Below are 20,142 nucleotides of genomic sequence, written 5' to 3'. Positions count from 1 at the left end.
ATGAAGGTGATAGTGTGACCTCGGCCTGAGGTAAGGACTAAATGAGTAAACACATGCACATAATCAACTGTGCCTGACATGTGGCACTTTGTGTTGCAGACACAGCTGATGATGTGCATGTGTTACTCATGTGCATGTTAGCTCTTGTATTTTGCCTGCAACACTGCACAAAGAGCAGATGTGACGAAAACCAGTTGTATTGAAGTTACAGCAGTGATACTTTCCAGTGGCCGTGCACCCTCCCAGGGAGACTGCAGCAATCTTCTCACCAGCAGTAACCTCCTGGGCTGGGAGATCCCAGGAAGGCCCCTCAATCTCCAGCAGGTTTGACCCTCAAGGAGCTTCGGGGAATGAACTAGAGAAGTATTTCTATCTGGGAGGAACTGGGAGTTTATTAGCTCATGTGTTCAGCTCATCCAAAGGGGAATAATGATTCAATTTCTTGCTTCAAATCTGCCCCAGTAAAATTCTTATAGTTTTGCCCAGGTGCAGTGGCTCACGCCTGTAATCCCAGCACTTTGGGAGGCCGAGGCGGGCGGATCACCTGAGGTCAGGAGTTCGAGACCAGCCCGGCCAACAAGGTGAAACCCCATCTCTACTAAAAATACAAAAAGTAGCCGGACGTGGTGGCAGGCACCTGTAATCCCAGCTACTTGGGAGGCTGAGGCAGGAAAATGGCTTGAACCCGGGAGGCGGAGGTTGCAGTGAGCTGATATCGTGCCATTGCACTCCAGCCTGGACAACAGAGTGAGACCCTGTCAAAAAAAAAAAAATCATATAGCTTTACAGTGGAAGACATTTGTACATGTCGGGGAGGAAATATGACTTTTCCTCACCCAGCCTAGGTTCGCTGCTGAGACCCTCACAGCAAAACACAGACTAACAAGGGAAGAGCATACAGATTTATTTAATGTAAATTTTACATGACAGGAACGCCTTCCAAAGGAAATGAAGGCCCATGGAAACAGCTAAACCTCAGTTTTTGTTTTCGTTTTTTTAACAGTAGGTTTATTCAAGAATGAATAGTCATGGAGAAGTATGATAAGTCAATAAAAGTATGATCTAACAGTAACAAAGTGGGGGAAAGGTAGCCAGGCCTCTGTGTTCAGGCTCTTCTCTGTGTCCCTGTGTCTTCAGAATCAAGGATGCACCTTTCCTCTGGGTACAGAGAGGGCACCTCTCACATAAGAGTCTTATACTGGACTTCAGGGAGGAAGGGCAGGGGGAGGGTGACAGTGACCTTCCTGCTTCTGTGGTTTACTCATATTCCTTTAGCATAAAATATTCAATACCCCAAGATGTTATACTTTGGAGTAGCATGTCCTGAATCCCATCATGCACATGCAGCAAAACCCAGAATCTTTGAAGAGTGATGACTACAAAATATTTAAATTCAAAATACAAATGATGGCCAAGTGGGGTGGCTCATGCCTGTAATCCCAGCAGGGAGGTGTAGGGAGGCCCAGGCAGGCGGATCACTTGAGTTCTGGAGTTCGAGAGCTGCCTGGCCAATATGGCGAAACCCCATCTCTACTAAAAATACAAAAATGAGCCCAGCACACGGTGCACACCTGTTGTCCCAGCTACTTTCAGGGGGAGGGGAACGGGTGGGCTGGCGATCAACTGAAACAATATCATATTTAAGAATGATTCTTTTTTCCTATAGGGCTAGTCAAGTGAAGCAGTGGAAGTGGAGAAGGAACAAAGAAACCTGTAACTGGTTGTGATCAAATATTTGTAAACAGGAATGAATTTTTATGCACTATACACTGTTATCAAAGTTACATATGCTGCAAAGCTGGTGGTGAACAGCAGTGCCCTGGTCCCTTCCTACACTTATCTGTAGGGATAACAATTTTTAATGCACGCAACCCACCTCTACATAAATATCGTTACTCTTTGACTGTCCAATTTTCCATCCCAGGTCCTGCAGTTCTGCCCGCAAGGGGAAACGGAGTTTGTGTTTCCTTACCTGCCAGTCCACTCCAAGGAGCCAAGGCGTCAACCCCCCTCAACCCCGGCTCGTCCTCCAAACTGAGCCCCTCAAAGACTGCGGTATTTTTCAGTCCTTCGTAACCGCTCTCAGCCCCAAAATATGAAAATGAGAGCGATGGTCCTGAGCGCCTGGAGTGACATCTTAGTTCGCTCCCAAGACCCATCAGGAACCTCATCCCAAGTGCTCTGAAGAGCAGGAGAAAACATTTTTAACTAAGGCGTCTTCTCCTTGGGGCAGGGTCCTGACGGGAGAAGGGGGAGCCCCATCTTCAGAGACTCGCCCCTCAGAGCTGCTCAGGTTCCTCTTCCCCGTGGCCCTGAGGGAGCTCGGCCGGGGCGACCCAGGATCAGAACCCGCGCTCCCAGCCCGCGCGCTTGAAGATGCCGCCGCGCGGATCTCTCTTTCTGGCTGAGATCTTGGGACGAAAGAATGAGATTTCCCGGAGTCAGGTTCCAAAGCTTAGTGAAACAGCGACTTTTAGGGCCCGCAATAGAGACGCAGGAGCTAGAAATTCGGCATAAAAATCTGAATATGAAGAACAGAGCAAATTAACATTCGGAATCGGATGGGCCATCTGAATAAAGCAGTGCTACTGCCAAGTTAGGTCTGGAACCATCGATCCTAAACTGAGACACACTCTCCAATGACTGAGCTAACCCCATCAGAATTTCTCACGCCACCGTTTACTTACCAAAAAGACAATGGGTGCCATTAGGAGATTCCCGAGTGAAAGGAATCTCGGGGTCTAGGATAGAGGGGCAGCAGCCTTTTTAGTGGAGGAGACCTGTCAGCCCGAGGCCCAGGGTCGCTCTGAGAGGGGGTGGGGACTTCCTGGGTCGCTGGGTCCCTGGCGGGGGTGTCCGGGCCTCCGATTGCTGGGTGCCAGGAGGCTCGCCCAGGAAGGGGACCCTGCAGGCTCGCTGATCCCGACTGGATGACTCGGCAATTTCCCTGTGGTCCGGGCCACTGCGAGAACCCGGTTTCTGGGACCCCGAACACCGAAGAGGGAGACGAAGAGGGGACGAGGAGCGCGGGGTACATCGCGAGGCTCAGACAGCGGGAGCAGAAGGGACACGGAGGCCCACAGCGCAGAGTTTCTGAACGTCAGCGGAATCCCCATTCCATTTAGGGAGTAAAACACAACATTGCCGTCCTAATTAAACAGAAAGGTTCCACCGAGACTCGAACTCGGATCGCTGGATTCAGAGTCCAGAGTGCTCACCATTACACCATGGAACCTCATCGTGCAAGTTTGCCGGAAGCGTCTGAATTCCCAATAAGTAGCAATAGTTCCCACTCAACCATGTCAAGGCATTTCTATTATCCCACAAGCAACACTCGAGGAAGGTGGACCTGCAGGAAGGAGCCATCCTTCTTGCTTTCTCTCTGCCCTCTCCTTTGATCGACTTCCATCATTTCATTTGCACCTCGGAAAATGAGGCAAAATCCACTGTGAGTTTAGGGCCAGAGAAGAGCCCTTGAAGCCTCGGTCATAGAGTTTCCTGTGCCACAGTGAAATTTCTTTCTTCCTTTCTTTCTTTCTTTCTCTCTCTCTTTCTTTGTCTCTCTTCTTTCTTTCTTTTTCTTTCTTTCTTTCTTGTCTTTCTTTCCTTTTTTTTTCTCTTTCTTTCTTTTCTTTCTTTCTTTCCCTTTCTCTTTCTTTCTTTCATTTTCTTCCTCCCTCCCTCCCTCCTTCCCTTCTTCCCTCCTTCCTTCTTTCCTTCCTTCCTTCCTCTCTCTCCCTCCCTTCCTCCCTCCCTTCCTCCCTCACTTTCTTTCTTTCTTTCTTTTCTTTCTTTCTTTCTTTCTTTCTTTCTTTCTTTCTTTCTCTCTCTTTCTTTTCATTGAGACAGAGTCTCCTTCTGTTGCTCAGGCTGGAGTGCAGTGCAGTGGCAGTGGGCGATCTCCCCTCACTGCAACCTCTGTCTGCTGGGTTCAAGTGATTGTAATCCGCAGTAGCTGGGATTACAAGCGTGGACCACCATGCCTGGTTAAATTTTGTATATTTAGTGGAGATGAGGTTTTGCCAGGTTGGCCAGGCTGGTCTTGAACTCTTGACTTTCAGTGATTTGCCCACCTTGGGCTCCCAAAGTGCTGGGATTACAGGCGTGAGCCACTGCGCCCAGACCGGAGATGAAATTTCTGCAAAATTTCTGTTATTTTCTTTATGCTTTCCCTGTTTTCTGTTTGCCCAAGGAGGCCAGATGATTATCAAAACAGGACGTGGGACTTCCTGGGCACCTTGCCCCCTTCCTCCCTTAGTATATAACAGAAGACAGCAATCAAGTGAGATTGGGAAGCAGGGAATCCCTTATTTTTTTATTCATATTCTTCTATGTTTGTTTGTTTGGTTGGTTTTAAAAAAATTTTCTCACCAGAAATGGAGATTTGTTGGATTTAAAATAAATGCGATCAGCCATATTTTATATTTCTATAAAACACTGAAACCAGGCCATACTCACCTGCTATGACTCAAAATCAACCATATACTGTCGAGGTCAGGAGGCAGGGCCCTGACATTTAAGCACAGTGTGTTTTCTCAGAATTGGCCAAGTTGATGCCATTCCAATTTCTCAATATCTCATGACCCATTAATTGCAGTGTTTAAAAGTGTACATGCATCGTTACTGAAAGCCCAGGAGTTCCGTCTAGGCCCTGCTGCTCAGCTCACAGAAAGCCAATCATTGAGACATTGAGTATTGCCGAGGAAGAAGGCTTTAATTGGGTGCTGCAGCTGAGGAGATGGGAGATCAGTCTCAAATCAATCTCCCTGATCAACTAAAACGAGGGGTTTATACAGCAGGGAAGAAACGTAACTGTGTGTGGGAAAGAGGAACTAGGGAAGGGTGAGGAAGCACTCATGATGAGTGAAGGGACTGGCAAGTCATTGTCTGGATGCTGTGATCTGCTGAGTTTCAGGTCTATGATGCTTTTTGAGAGGCTGAGGGTCCTTTCCTGAGGAAGGAACTCAGATAAAACAAATGTAAGTTTCAAGCTTTAAGACCAGAAGGGTCCATTTTTAAGTCTATCCAAAAACACTGTATGTGGGACTATTGGGTCGATTTCAGTCCCCACTTTCTATTTGTCAGTTCCTCAATCATGGGGAATCTGGTCATGCATCTTTCTGGCTTTGTCATGAGGAGAAGGGGCATCCTGAGCAGCTCCACACCATGGGTGACCGCATGGCCACCCAGGAATCAAACATTCATCTAATACTGTAGTTTCTCCTGAAACACAATCTTCCTCTGTCCAGTTCCCCATTTCCACTAAAGACAAAACACAGCAGGACCAACCTACCTGCAAAAGAAGCTTCAGTCCCATATACTTGGCCTGATTACCCACACAAAGTGCAGCAAGAATCCTTGTCCATATAGGCTCTCCTAAATGGGCTTTGCTGGAACATTTCACAACACCATTTCAGGCAAAGCCCTGAGAAGATTACCAGTTCCTCCACCTGTGTCCTGTTATAAAAGAAAACAGAATCTTATTGAACTTATGCAAACAAACACATCATCATGAGTTAAGAATATTCAGTTTACAAATTCTGGAGAAATTCGGCAGAGAGAGAAAAATATGCCTCAAATTCTGTTTAGAAGACTATTCTACTCAATTGTTGCAGGCTATAAATAGCTCAAAATGACAAAAGTTCTCCAGGCTTTGAAGAATAAACAATGTTTTAAACAAACAAACAAAGACCATAAAAACTTACTTCAGTCCTCCATTAGTTCAGTCCATACAATCAGCTCCTGCTCTGCTTCATAGTGGGCTAGCAATCTTTATGAACATATCAGCCTTTCTATTAGTGCCCTGGGTGAAATTTTCTTTTTACTTCAATGGCACAATCTCCAAAGTTATCAGAAACCTGCATCCAAGAGTCCTTTTCGTGGACTTCCCCAAAGAAGCAAGGCCTGGACTGTAACTGATTATAAGTCACTTTTTGAGAAGAATCAAAGCAAAACAACAATTGTGGATAACAAAAGCCTTAAGACAGCCATGGTTATAGACACAGTTGACAAGGGAATTCTGTTGCTTCTGTGGCACACACAATTTAACATAATAATCATAATTATTACTGACAGCATAGCAGAACTCTAGGAATCTCATACTATCCTGGAACACACATTAACAACACATCTGTGTCAATAGAACCCAAAGGAAGTGAAACACCACCTCAGATTTGACAATGCTTCTTGCAGAATTCTACATAACAAATAAGCCTAAGAAGCCTAATATATCTCTCTTGGACTTCAAGAACCTAATATCCAAAAAGTTAATTTGAGGCCCAAAAGGCTCAATATGAAAATTTTACTCTTAGAAAGTTAGCCAAAGTTTTGAGAGACTTGATATCACAAAATAGAATCACAGGTCACCTTAAAATAGTCAATCATTTAGGCAAAAGGTAAACAAAAATATTTTATTTTATTAATATTAATAATTTTTATTTTTTAAAATAAAATTTAAAATAAATTTTTAAAAAATTTTTCAAAATAATTAATAATTTTTATTAATATTACACAAACATTTTGATCAAGAGAAAACCAAATTTTGCCTTTGTGTGATGTATTAAAATGTTAAAGCTAATTTTAATGAAACCTTATACACAAATTTAATTATAATCAGTTCAACCATAAGGTAAGAGTTTCAAAAACCTTTCATGACCTTTTATACTTTTCTATGAAAAAGCAGATGAATGCTCAAGAAAACCCTGTTATTCTGATACACGGGCCCAGTTGCTGGCCTTGCATCAGTGTGTTTCTGAGTGTAAAGTCTAATTTATAGAAAAATCTCTGAATTTGAGAGGCCAGGGTGGGTGGATCACTTGAACTTAGGAGTTTGAGTCTAGCCTGGGCAATATGGTGAAACATTGTGTCTACCAAAAAAAAAAAAAAAAAAAAAAAAAAAAAAAAAAAGAGAAAGAAAGAGAGGAAGGAAGGAAGGAAAAGAAAAGAAAAGAGAAGAAAAGAGGGAAAGAAAAGAAAGTCTCTGAACTAAACTTATCTCTCAGACTCCAGCCTTAAAATTCTCATGTGCCCACCTCTTCTGTCCAGAGGAAGAGGGGGCATGAGGTGGAAAAGGGTGCATGTGGGATTGTTGGGCCTAGAGGGATGGAATGGTTTCAATTTCTGGTTCCGTGTCTCATGGAAGAAGTTCATTTTGATTGTCATCTTCCCCAGGGTCTGAAGACAAGGCATTCATTGGCATCAGTATTCAAGATTTAGCAGAAGTATGTGCCTTTTTCAGACCCAGGAGTCTAAGACCTGTAAGCTAATAGCACAAGGATTAGTTCACAGGACATTTGTACTGCAGAAAGTTCTATTTCTCTCTCTCATGTCACTGTGATCTGCTGTCCAGTAGTTACTGCCTGCAGCACTTCAAACCATTGTATTAAAGTGGTTAGGATATTCCTTGCATATAACTAGTTGCCAGCATTCTAATGACAGAACTGTGATCGAAAGCATCAAAAATGTGACAGAACCTATGCCAAACTTTTCAAAGTAAGACAATTAAATTTTCTCTCCATCATTTAACAAAATGTGTGACAGAACCTATGCCAAACTTTTCAAAGTAAGACAATTAAATTTTCTCTCCATCATTTAACAAAATGCTAAATGCAAATATCAGTTTTGGAAATTCAGTATGAGGATAAATAATCTCCTTTTATTTAAATACTATACAACAAAACAAGAACAAAGTGAGAGTAAACACACTGTCATTTCTTTTCAGCTATTTTATTTATTTATTTTGAGACAGAATCTCCCTCTGTCACCCAGGTTGGGGTACAGTGGCAGGATCTCAGCTCACTGCAGCCTCCACCTTCGAGTCCAAGGTTCAATGGATTCTCTTGCTCAGCCTCCCGAGTAGCTGGAATTACAGGTGGGCACCACCATGCCCAGCTGATTTTTGTGTTTTTAGTAAAGACAGGGTCTCACCATGTTGAACTCCTGGCCTTCAGTGATCTGCCCACCTCAGCCTCTCAAAGTGTGGAATTATAGGAATGAGCCACCACACCCAGCCTTCTTTTCAGCGATTTTAAAAGAGCATAATCACATATTTCCAAGATTCGTTTCTAGATACAGTACTGATTACTGATTAGGTCACTTCCACCATTAAAATCTTCAAACCAGTGCAACAATTGTACATGTTTTGTTTTCAAGTACACACATGAAGACCCAACAGTGATACAAGGCTTGGGATCAAAAATCACTATAAATTCTCACAACCTGTTTGTATTACCACTTCTTCCAAGTGAATGTCACTTAATTTTAATAATGGTAAACATAACTTAAGGAGGTTGAGAGAAATCCAATCAATATAATATCTGTAAGGACAAGGCCAATCTTTCTGAACGTGGAAACTTTGTACCCACACCACAGTTTTTCCTCATTAGAGGAAAGGGTCTGCAACCAACTCAAATGATTGGTCGAAACCAACTCACATTACTGATTGCACTGAATGTGTATCAAGCCTCAGGCCATGGATACCTGGGTCCTAGTGTTCCTGTGACATCCCCTTGGGGTAGCGGAACACTACCTTTCAATGATGGGAAGTCTTGGGCAAGAGCAAGTCTCCTCCCCTTGTCCAATACAGACAGTTTTTCTGTCTAACCCTACCTCAGCAGTTGCCCTATCCCTGGGGCCAAGGGTTGGACGAGTTCCTAGCTCCAACATCAGTGGTAGATGCCTTTTGTTTTATGTGAGAAGCAACCAGGTTTTGTGCCTGTACTCTGGTGGTGGTCGATCATGTGATCATGACTTTTATGCCTACGCCACTGTGGCAAGCTTGAGAAATCCTCTTTCCCTGTTACATGTGTCTTGTCAGCACTAAGGACGTGGGAGGAAGGACCCAGCAAATGGGCAAAACCATGCTATGTATCTGGGACTCTCAGAGTTTCTAATCTGTCACAATAGTTCACACTTGGCCTTTAAGAAATGATGAAATCTTCAGTGATTTTCTCCAATGAACATTTATGGCTGCCATCTTTTCCTTCCATTATCTGTCAAAGATGAACTGCTTCATGTGTTTGTCCTTCTATAGGGGGTTTTCTCACGCTTTGGACTTCAGCTGACTCAGGGGCCTTGCAACTTCAGCTCTCTGGTGGGATCAAAGCACGTATGATTTTGCAGACCATACAGCTTTTTCTTGTCATTAGAGTGGGAACAACTGTCTCTTACAGCTTTCTGCATCTTAAACAACTGTTGAATCACATGTCTGTTTTAAAAAATCCTTATCTTTTCCTCTATATCTGGATTAATTTCCCTTCAGGATACTACACAAATTCTGTTAGTTATCACTTCTTTTGAGGCTATGAGGTAGACATAGTGAGCATCTTGACGATCCCTGCAATTGAGTCTATTCATTAGGTGCTCACGGGAAACCTGGGCCCAGACCAGTAGTGAGACACACAACTGTCACCCACAGCTCTAGTTGAATTTTTGTCATGAGGCTCTTTCTCCTCAGTCAGCATACAAGTCTTAGAACAAGTTTGAGATTGGGACTATCTTAAAATAGGCTTCCTGAGTGGCTAGTAAGATTTGCTGGGACTCCAATTTCTGGTCAAATGTGAGCCAGCAGAGTAAAGACAACATTCTTGACCCAGGAGAAGGCAACAGTACATGGATACACCATATTTTTCATCAACCTCAGAATAATTACCTCAATGAATATTTAAATTAGTGATTGAAATACTTGTTTTCCCAAGCGTGTGATGCTGAAAATTGGAAAAGTTGCCTTGGTTGTCTAAATGATTGTGCGCTCAGATTGAATTTGAGTGTACACAAGGTGCAGTCTCCATTGGAAAAGATTCTAAGAACTGGATGTGGGTAGAGGATGCAATTATGGAACTTGGTATCTTTCCCACTTTCTTTTCTTTCTTCCCATTTCGACTAGTCTTGTAATGCTAGGCCCAGGCATCAATATACACACAACTAAAAAAGGCAAAATCAGTGCAAAAGACACAATATCTATACAATGAAATCAAATGGTGCCTATTGCTAAAGTTACTTTAACTTCTCATCATGTAGCCCAATAAGGTGAATGCTGCCCACCTACCAAGGGTGTTAGTCAGCTCAGGCTGCCATAGAAAGATACCAAAGGTTGGGTGGTTTAACAGCAGACTTTTATTTTCTCAATGTTCTAGAGGCCAAAAGTCCAAGATCAATGTGCTGGTAGAGTTGGTTTCTGGGGAGGCCTCTCTTCCTGGCTTGCAGAAGGCCACTTTCTTGCTTTGTGCTCCCATAGCCTTTCCTCTGTGCCTGTGTGGAGAAAGAGAGAGATTCTTTGATGCCCTTCCTCTTCTTATATGGACACCATTCTGACCAGATTAGGGCCCCACTTGTATGGTCTAATTAACCTTAATTACCTCCTTAAAGACTCTATATCTAAATACAGTCAAGTTGGGGGTTAAGCTTTCAACATATAAATTCAGGGGAAAACAATTCATTTTATAACACCAAGCAATAGGGACGAGCCTAAGATTCTTTTTTTTTTTTTTTTTTTTTTTTTTTTGAGACAGAGTTTAGTTCTTGTTGCCCAGGCTGGAGTGCAGTGGCATGATCTAGGCTCACCGCAACCTCTGCCTCCCGGGTTCAAACGATACTCCTGCCTCGGCCTCCCAATGTGCTGGGATTACAGGTGTGAGCCACTGCGCCTGGCAATCCTATGATTCTTTACCTATTAAATCCTATGACATTTGCCTGGTGGTGGGGCCAGGAAGAAGTTGTTAGCAAGGCTGCTATTATTGCTCATTCTACAATTAGGAAAGCACACCTGAGCCGAAGTGCCTGGCTTATGGGAAAGAGTGCGGGTCAAACAGGTATGAAATAAAAATAGGGGAAAATGGTAGTAAACAAAAGCAGTGCTCTTACTTGAGTCATGCATCCAGGAAGGATTAAAATTGTGCAATTTCATGGAAATCCTATTGTCTTTATCAGGAGAATGACTTTACAAGTTTTATTAACTGGGGGCGGGGGTGAAAAGGATGGTGTCGATTAAGGACAACACCTGATTGCCCAGCATAATGTGAATTCTTGACTAAACAGCTATAGGATGTGAAGGAAAGATCAGCAGTCAAAGAAAACTCAAAGATTTTTAGACTGAGCATACGGAAGGATGGTGTTTCCATCCACAGAGGTGAGAAAATAGCATGTGCTGCAGGTTGTAGGAAGAAAAACAGAGATCAGCTCAGGGCCCCAAAACCTTGCTTGAGTTTTCCATTCACCCTGTCCCCATTTCTACATCCCCTTGAGATTTTTGTGAGGCTGAATGCAGAGGTGCTTGGCCACTTCTCCCCCTGGGCACCAGTCCTCTCACCTCCTCCTGACAGCGTCTTCCATGGCCCTGTCTCTGATGACCATCTCCCAACAAGATGTCATCCTGCAAAGGTGATCTGAGCCATAGCTGGGGCAAGGCCATCCACTCCTTGACTTGTGTGGCCTTGGTGGGCCCCAGGAGCACTTCACCGCTTCTCAGGGTAGTAGATCTTTTGTTTGGAACTCTTCTTCTGAGGAAAACAGGGAGGGAAACAGCCTGAGGGGTGGAAAGGGAGGGCTGTACCAGGGAGCCTAGGAAAGTTGAGCCTAGGCTCTCAATGCAAAGAACATTTACCACCTGAGAAGTTCTACTCAGTTACTATTGTTAGTTTAGAATCTCATCAATGAAAATGGTATAGAAATTTGCCTTCTTCCTGGTTATATGTGCACCTACATAATATCCTTAATTTTGCCTCTTGGCTCACAAGCCTAGAATACTTCCTATCTCCCTGGCCCTTTACAGAAAAAGTTTGCTGAACTCTATAGACAACAATGCCCCACACTTTACAGAAAAAGACACCCAGGAATGTCTTTTACTAATTTTCATTTGTTGGACATTTTTCCTGGTCACCAATAAGTTCCCTTTCTTGGCTTGTAATGATTAGTCTGTGGTTGGTTGTCATTTGCAATGACACAATATATACTGGGACCTCAAAGCAGAAAAAGTGTAGAAGAAAACCTAGGAAATATCATTCTCAACATCAGACGTGGCAAAGAATTTATGGCCAAGTCCACAAAAGCAATTGTAGCAAAAACAAAAATTCACAAGTAGGACCTAATTCAATGAGAGAGCTTCTGCACAGTAAAAGAAACCATCAACAGGGTCAACAGACCACCTACAGAATGGGAGAAAATGTTCACAAACTGTGAATCTGACAAAGGTCTAATGTCCAAAACCTATTAGGAACTTTAAAAAATCAACAAGAAAAAAAATAATCCCATTACAAAGTGGGCAAGGTGACATGAACAGGCACTTCTTAAAAGAAGACATACAAGCAGCCAGCAAACACAGGAATAAATGCTCATCATCACTAATAATCAGAGAAATGCAAGTCAAAGCTACAATGAGATACCATCTCACACCACTCAGAATGGCCATTATTAAAAAGTCAAAAACCAACAGATGCTGATAAGGCTGTGGAGAGAAAGCATATAAACACTTGGAGTGAATGTAAATTAGTTCAGTCTCTGTGGAAAGCAATTTGGAGATTTCTCAAAGAACCTACAACAGAGCTGTTTTTCAACCAGTAATCTCATTACTGGGTATATACCCAAAGGAATGTAAATCATTAAAACAAAAAGACACATGCGCTCCTATGATCACCACACCAGGCTATTCACAATAGCAAAGACATGGAGTCAAACTAGGTGCCCATCAATGGTGGATTAAATAAAGAAAATGTGGTACATACACAACATGGAATACTGCACACCCATAAAAAAGAATGAAATCATGTCTTTTGCAATAACATGGATAGAACAGGAGGCCATAATCTGGAAGAAACTAATGCGGAAACAGAAAATGAAATACTGAATGTTCTCACTTAGGAATGGGACCTAAATATTGAGCTCACATGGACATAAACTTGAGAACTATAGACACTGTGGACTACCATGAGGTAGGTAGGGAGGGAGGGAGAGTGGGTTGAAAAACTAGCTATTGGGTACTATGCGAACTACCTGGACCCAATATACCCATGTAACAATGCTACACTTGTACCCTTGGTACACAACAAAAAACTGAGATTTTAACAAGAACAAAAATTATAGTACACTAAAAAAATTACTGCACAGAAAGTAAAATAATCATGGATTTTAAAAATTAAATATTACAAATAAAGATCTAAAATCAATAATCCAAACTTACACTTTAGGAAACTCAAAGAAAACAAGAGCAAATTAAGTCCAAAGTGAGTGGAAGACAAGAAACAATAAACACTAGAGCAGAAATCAAGGAAATTGAAAACCAGAAATCAATAGAAAAAAGTCAAAAAAACCTGAAGAGTGTTCTTTGAAAGGACCGATAAAATTGATAAACCTTTAGCTGGTGAACCAAGAAACAATGAGAAGATACAAATTACTAATATGAGAAAGAAAACAATGACCCTCACTTCTGATCTCGTGGACATTAAAAGCATAGTAGAGGACTATTATGCACAATTCTCTGCTCACAAATTTGATAACTTCGATGAATTGGATCAACTACTTGAAAGATAAAGTTGACCAAAACTCTACAAGGAGAAATAGATACACTAAATAGGTCTCTATCTATTAACGAAATTGAAGCAACAATTAATAACCTTCCAGAACAAAGCGCCAGGTCTAGATGGTTTCACAACCAAACACTTAAGGAAGAAACTATATCAATTCTCTCTAGAAAACAGAAGCCGAGGGAACACGTCTTAACTCTGGTCTAGGAGGCAAGCTTCACCCTAGTAGCAAAACCAGACAAACGATTTTGAACCAGGATGTTGAACTAGCCTGGACTGCTGACCAGCTCCTGAAACTCAATCCTGGAAGAACTGTAGAAGCGAGAAGAAAACATGGCTTACGGGAACTGTAAAAAATGGTAAACCTCCTGTAGAGACCAAGGCAGTATTGACCCGGTGTGTGTGGAAGGTTAATGTTCACCGACAGCAGAGAGAAAACAAGATGGAGAAAAGTATTTTCGGTTCTGCTCTTGCGTCTCTCTCCATGGCTCTGGGCCAGCTGCGCTTCTTACCCCTTCCCGAAAGAGATTTGTCAGCGGCTCTTAACCCTCCAATGCGGTAGCTGCGATGTGACATCGGGAACCCATATAGGCTTCGCTGAGGAAAAGAGTAGATGAAAACAGGGGTGAAACCGGATGATCGCGGGGCTTTCCTCTTCAGAGTGTCCTCCTCAGGCCTCCAGAGCTAATGATTGCCATGGCCTCCCCACCACACTGCTTAAAGAGAAGTATTAAAAAGAATCCTGTGGACGGAAGATTTGCCTGGTGGAGTGTAAAACAAACAGGGGTGATAGAAATGAGTTTTGGGGACGTGCTGCTCTCCACTGGGGGCCCATTCTTCATTTTGCCGAGACCACCAAAGACTGGGCCTTCCTCGACAGGAAGGTCCGAGGCCCCTCTCCGCAGCTCCCCTCATCTGCACTCGGGTTCCTCCTCACATGCCTCCCCTTTCCCTGGGCCCCAGTTCCCCACCACTGCTTGTGTCCGCCCCACCCCACAGCTTCTCTCCTTTCGGGGAGTCTCGCTCTGTCACCCAGGCTGGAGTGCAATGGCGCGATCTCGGCTCACTGCAAGCTCCGCCTCCCGGGTTCACGCCATTCTCCCGCCTCGGCCTCCTGAGTAGCTGGGATTACAGGTGCCAGCCACCACCCCCGGGTAATTTTTTGTATTTTTAGTAGAGACGGGGTTTCACCATGTTAGCCAGGATGGTCTCGATCTCCTGACCTCGTGCTCCGCCCGCCTCAGCCTCCCAAAGTGCTGGGATTACAGGCGTGAGCCACCGCGCCCGGCCGGGAATGTCATTTCTTGAGCCGCACTCCATCGCGAGATGTGGTCTAATGGTCTATCCAAGGTCCAAGTAGAGAATCAGTGACCAGGTACCTCTTTGTATTGCAGGGATCCGACAGCAGAGACGATAAAAGTCGCGCCGGTTTTAGGGCCAAATACGTAGAAACGCAGAGACCAAGCAGACCCACTGGCTGCTTCAAAGACAGTCTCTGCAAAGTCTCGGCTTAGATAAATTCCTCTCCGGGGCCCGGGCTCACGCCTGTAATCCCACCACTTTGGGAGGCCGAAGCTGGTGGATCATGTGAGGTCAGTAGTTCAAGATCAGCCTAGCCAACATGGTGAAACCCCGTCTCTACTGAAAATACAAAAACTAGCAGGAAATGGTGACACGTGCCTGTAATCGCAGCTACCTGGGAGGCTGAGGCATGAGAATCTCTTGAGCCTGGAAGGTGGAGGTTGCAGTGAGCCAGGATCGTGCAACTGCACTCCAATCTGGGGGGCCAGACAGAGACTCTGTCTCAAACGAACAAACAAAAATAAATAAATAAAAGAAAAATAAATTCCGCTACGGAAAGAACCCAAGGACTATACAGTAGTTCCCCCCTTCCCCTCCTTTTTTTTCTTTATTAGCGCGGCACAGTAAGTAAATGTAAAACCCACAGGGCACAAAGACAGGACGCTGCATTTGCCGGAAATGGAATCCAGGTCTCCCGGGTGGGAGGCGAGAATTCTACCACTGAACTGCCAACGCCTCCTGACCCCGAGCTGTGCAGCCTTGGAAAGAGTTAAGACACAGACTTGGGAACAGGAGTCAAGATTTTCACCGTGTTCTCTTTGCAAGATGTGACAAACAAAAAAGACACCTAGAGCAATGGCTCGCAGTGGAGAATTGCCATCAGGCAATACCACAAAGTTATGGCTTCACATTAAAAGAGCTGACTTGAAAAAGCCTTATTCTGAGTAGGCTCTGAAGCAACTGCATAACAAACCTCTGTAGGAAAATATCAGAAACTCACCCAGCTTCTTGTCTCTGGTCCTGTATCCAGTGTGAGCCTGTGGAAAGTTCTTGCCTCGCTTGTTGATGTCTTCTCTTTGCCTCCCTGTTGCTTGGTTCCTCCCAAACCCTTTCTTCCCAACCTTGACACGAACATCAGTACTTTCCCCAAAAAGGCCTTCAGGACCCAGGAACTCGAGTATGAAAAGCTGAACTCTTGGGACTGTGCCTGGGATACTCCAGGAGACCAGGGTGATAATTGAGCTTCTCTCCTCCTACACCTCTTTTGAGTTCCTGGAAAACACCAGGGATCAGATCTTGCTTTTAACTTCTTATGCCTTACAGAGACCAAAACAAGAGGGAATAAATGGACATTTCACTCCCAGAATTCTTCTCTTCACCTGGCCCTGGTCGGCCACCCAAGGAGGCCAGTTCAGGGAAAAACAGTTCCATTTGATTCTAGGTAGATGCTAGGATATTACTCCTCTAGTTAACATAAAGCGTTCTTTTGCTGTTTACTTTTGTCGGATATTCATGTTTTCACTCTCATTCTTTTGTTTCTAATGAGCGTGGTATAGATTTGCACCGTTCTTTTTGTTGTTGTTGTTTATTTTCTTTCCTTTTTACATTTTTTATTTCCAACTTTTATTTTAAGTTCAGGGTACATGTGCAGGATGTGCAGGTTTGTCTCACAGGTAAACCTGTGTCATGGTGGTTTGATGCACAGATCTTCCCATCACTCAGGTACTAAGCCCAGCATCCATTAGCTACTCTTTCTGATGCTCTCCCTCCTCCCAACCCCCACCCTCCAACAGGCTCCAGTGTCTGTTGTCCTTGCCCCCTAACCCCATTTATCCATGTGTTCTCGCATTCAGCTCCCAGTTATAAGTGAGAACACACGGTGTTTGGTTTTCTGTTTCTGTGTTAGCTTGCTAAAGATAATGTGCACTGCTTTTGACCCGGTGTGGTGGTTCACATCTGTAATCTCAGCACTTTGGGAGGTCGAGGTGGGTGGATCACGAGGTCAGGAGTTCGAGACCAGCCTGGCCAATATGGTGAAACCCCATCTCTACTAAAAATACAAAAATTAGCTGGGCATGGTGGCGCGTGCCTATAGTCCCAGCTACTCGGGAGGCTGAGGCAGAAGAATCCCTTGAACCTGGGAGGTAGAGGTTGCAGTGAGCCGAGATCTGGCCACTGCACCCCAGCCTGGTGACAGAGCGAGACTCTGTCTCAAAATAATGATAATAATAATAATAATAATAGGCTGGGTGCAGTGGCTCATGCCTGTAATCCCAGCACTTTGGGAGGCCGAGGCGGGCGGATCACCTGAGGTCAGGAGTTCGAGACCAGCCTGACCAACATGGAGAAACCCCGTTTCTACTAAAAATACAAAATTAGCTGGGTATGGTCGCACATGCCTGTAATCCCAGCTACTAGGGAGGCTGAGGCAGGAGAATTGCTTGAACCTGGGAGGCGGAGGTTGTGGTGAGCTGAGATCACACCATTGCACTCCAGCCTGGGCAGCAAGAGTGAAACTCTGTCTCAAATAATAATAATAATAATAATAATGTGCACTGCTTTGAATATTTAACCCTTTTCTGCCATTGAACCATTAGAGTCCACATTTCCTTTTCTATCCAATATGAGAGACTTAGATCCATTATAATTAGCAGTAATTAGTGTTATGTTGGAGATGATGGGCATAGTTAGTCTCATTCCCACCACCTCATTGTATGATTTCTGTGTTTTTGCTTTGTTTATAAAATCTCTTCCTGCCTTTTTTTTCTTTTCTTTCTTTTTTTTTTTTTTGAGACGGAGTCTCACTTTGTTGCCCAGGCTGGAGTGCAGTGGCATGATCTTGGCTCACTGCAAGCTCTGCCTCCCAGGTTCATGCCATTCTCCTGCCTCAATCTCAGGAGTAGCTGGGACTAAAGGCACCCGCCACCACGCCTGGCTATTTTTTTTGTATTTTTAGTAGAGATGGGGTTTCACCATGTTAGCCAGGATGGTCTCGATCTCCTGACCTCGTGATCCGCCCGCCTCGGCCTCCCAGAGTGCTGGGATTACAGGCATGACCCACCGCGCCCGGCCTCTTCCTGCCTTTCTTAAGTAGACTGTTCTGTTTGGGTAAATTTGTTGTTTTCCCATAGTGTTTTTGAAATTCCATATCCCTGATTTGTTAATATATTCTCTTAGATCTCAGGTGCACAGGAAGAAGGTAATCATGTACCTTAGCTCAGGGCACATTATGGTGGCTGCTCTCAGCAAGGCCCTTACTGTCTTTCCTTCTTTTCTCTGTTCATCCCACTCCCATTCCCCTGTCCACTTCCAGACACACATTCTGAGGAGTTTAGCATATGCTCTTTTATCCTACACTTTCTCTGCATATTTTAATAAAGGGATGTCTGGGGAGAACACACATTGTTCTTTGGGGGTGAGGGGTGTTAACTTTATTTTATTTTATTTTATTTTATTTTATTTATTTATTTTGAGACGGAGTCTCGCTCTGTCACCCAGGCTAGAGTGCAGTGGCCCGATCTTGGCTCACTGCCAGCTCCACTTCCCAGGTTCACGCCATTCTCCTGCCTCAGCCTCCTGAGTAGCTGGGACTACAGGTGCCCGCCACCACGCCTGGCTAATTTTTTGTTTGTATTTTTAGTAGAGACGGGGTTTCACCATGTTAGCCAGGATGGTCTCGATCTCCTGACCTCGTGATCCACCCACCTCGGCCTCCCAAAGTGCTGGGATTACAGGCATGAACCACCGCGCCTGGCCTAAAACAACTTTAAAATGTGAATGGTTTCCAAAAACCCATTTCATCCTCTTTACTCCATTCTGTGAACTACCTTCTCAACTTTTCTATTCTAATACAAAAGTTTGTGTATAGGCCGGGCACAATGGCTCACGCCTGTAATCCCAGCACTTTGGGAGGCTGAGGGGGGCAGATCACGAGGTCAGGAGATTGAGACCATCCTGGCTAATACGGTGAAACCCCTGTCTCTACTAAAAATACAAAAAATTACCTGGGTGTCCTGGCACGCACCTGTAGTCCCAGCTACTCTGGAGGCTGAAGCAGGAGAATCGCTTGAACCCAGGAGGCGGAGGGTGCAGTGAGCCAATATCGCGCCACTGCACTCCAGCCTGGGCGACAGAGTGAGACTCCATCCAAAAAAAGAAAAAGAAAAAGAAAGATAGAAAGCAAGCAAGCAAGCAAGCAAGCAAGCAAGCAAGACAAAACCAAAATATCAGAGATGATAAATTCGCTGGATGGGATTAACAGCAGATTAGACGTTGCAGAAGAAATGATCAGGGAATATGGAACCATGAATAATTGAAAATATGCAAAATGAAACTCACAGACAAAAGATTTTTTTTTAAATGAAAAGATTATCAGTGAACTGTAGGGCAGATTTAAGAGGCCTAATTTATGAGTAATGTGAGTCCCTGAAAAGGAGCGGGGAGGAAAGGAAGCATTTATTTTCTTTCTTTGTTATTTTTATTACGAGTGGGGTTTCAGTATGTTGCTCAGGCTGGTCTCCAATTCCCGGCCTCACTCAACACCTCCTGATTCCTGAAGGTGTGAGCCACTGTTCCCAGCCAATTTTTGAAGAAACAATAGCTGAAAAGTTCCCAACCATAATGAAAATTATAAATCCAGTGACCCAAGGAGCTGAGGAAACCAAAGCACAAGAAACATGAAGAAAACCACTGCTAGATACCTCATAATAACATTGCTGAAATCCAGCCAGAAGAAAAAGACATTGTACCTACACAGGAACAAAGATGAGAATTGCCATCAACTTTCTTTCTGCTCTCGCCGGCCCCCACTGGGAGCAGCAATGCAATGGGAGCAGACAGAGAAGCAACATCTTTAAGGTACTGAGGGCAGAGGAAGTTAACCTAGAATACTCTGCCAGAAAAAATAAATTCCCAAAACTGGAAGTGAAGTAAGGACATTTAGAGACTTACATAAGCTGACCGAATTCACTACCAGCTGACCCACACTACAGAAACGTCAAAGGAGTCTTCCGGGCAGAAGGAATCCAATACCAGATGAAAATCCAGATCTACATGAGGAAATGAAGAACACCAGAAATAGGTAACTATACTAGGTATTTTCTTATTTTGTAAATTTCTTTTGTAAAAGTTTGACCATTTAAACAAAAGCAATAACAATGGGTTGTGGGTTTATAACATGCGTAAAAGCAAAGTACATGTCAGCAATAACTTCAAGGCCAGAAGGCGAGGTTTAATATCACTTGAAGGTTGACTGTGTTCAGTTAAAAAGGTTTGCTATAAGCCCTAAGGGAATTACTAAAGTAACAAAAGAAAGAGTTATAGCTAA

The 20,142-nt window shown here is 43.9% G+C and overlaps 1 protein-coding gene and 1 non-coding gene across 6 annotated transcripts in view, besides 1 other annotated feature; both read right to left on the bottom strand.

Moving 5' to 3' along the window:
- Positions 1,859-2,630: an enhancer, noted in NCBI's record as "H3K27ac-H3K4me1 hESC enhancer chr1:145963909-145964683 (GRCh37/hg19 assembly coordinates)". NCBI's record gives its function as "activates a minimal SCP1, AML or CMV promoter by ChIP-STARR-seq in primed H9 embryonic stem cells {active_cell/tissue: H9 hESC(primed)}" and the evidence as "EXISTENCE:reporter gene assay evidence [ECO:0000049][PMID:30033119]".
- On the bottom strand, positions 3,164-3,235 carry TRQ-CTG3-2 (tRNA-Gln (anticodon CTG) 3-2). Its single transcript has one exon. It is a non-coding gene; the product is annotated as a tRNA-Gln (tRNA).
- Positions 3,236-10,090: 6,855 nt separating this feature from the next.
- The window catches only part of GPR89B (G protein-coupled receptor 89B), a 97,515-nt gene continuing 87,463 nt past the window's right edge, over positions 10,091-20,142 (bottom strand). For 2 of the 5 annotated variants that reach the window (NR_183757.1, NR_183756.1), the window contains 5 exons: positions 19,767-19,864; positions 15,817-16,088; positions 14,027-14,111; positions 11,306-11,495; positions 10,091-10,248 (listed from right to left, as the gene is read on the bottom strand). The gene's annotated coding sequence lies outside the window, so the exon portion shown is untranslated. Of the gene's footprint in view, positions 10,249-11,305; positions 11,522-13,856; positions 14,112-15,816; positions 16,133-19,766; positions 19,865-20,142 lie in introns of all 5 variants that reach the window. The other 3 variants (NR_183758.1, NR_183755.1, NR_183759.1) reach the window with 3 other exon arrangements.

The sequence above is a fragment of the Homo sapiens genome, chromosome 1 (genome assembly GCF_000001405.40).
Source record: "Homo sapiens chromosome 1, GRCh38.p14 Primary Assembly".
Lineage (NCBI taxonomy): Eukaryota > Metazoa > Chordata > Mammalia > Primates > Hominidae > Homo > Homo sapiens.
The sequence above is the reverse complement of the archived record's forward strand: the minus strand, read 5'-3'. Positions and strand labels throughout refer to the sequence as shown.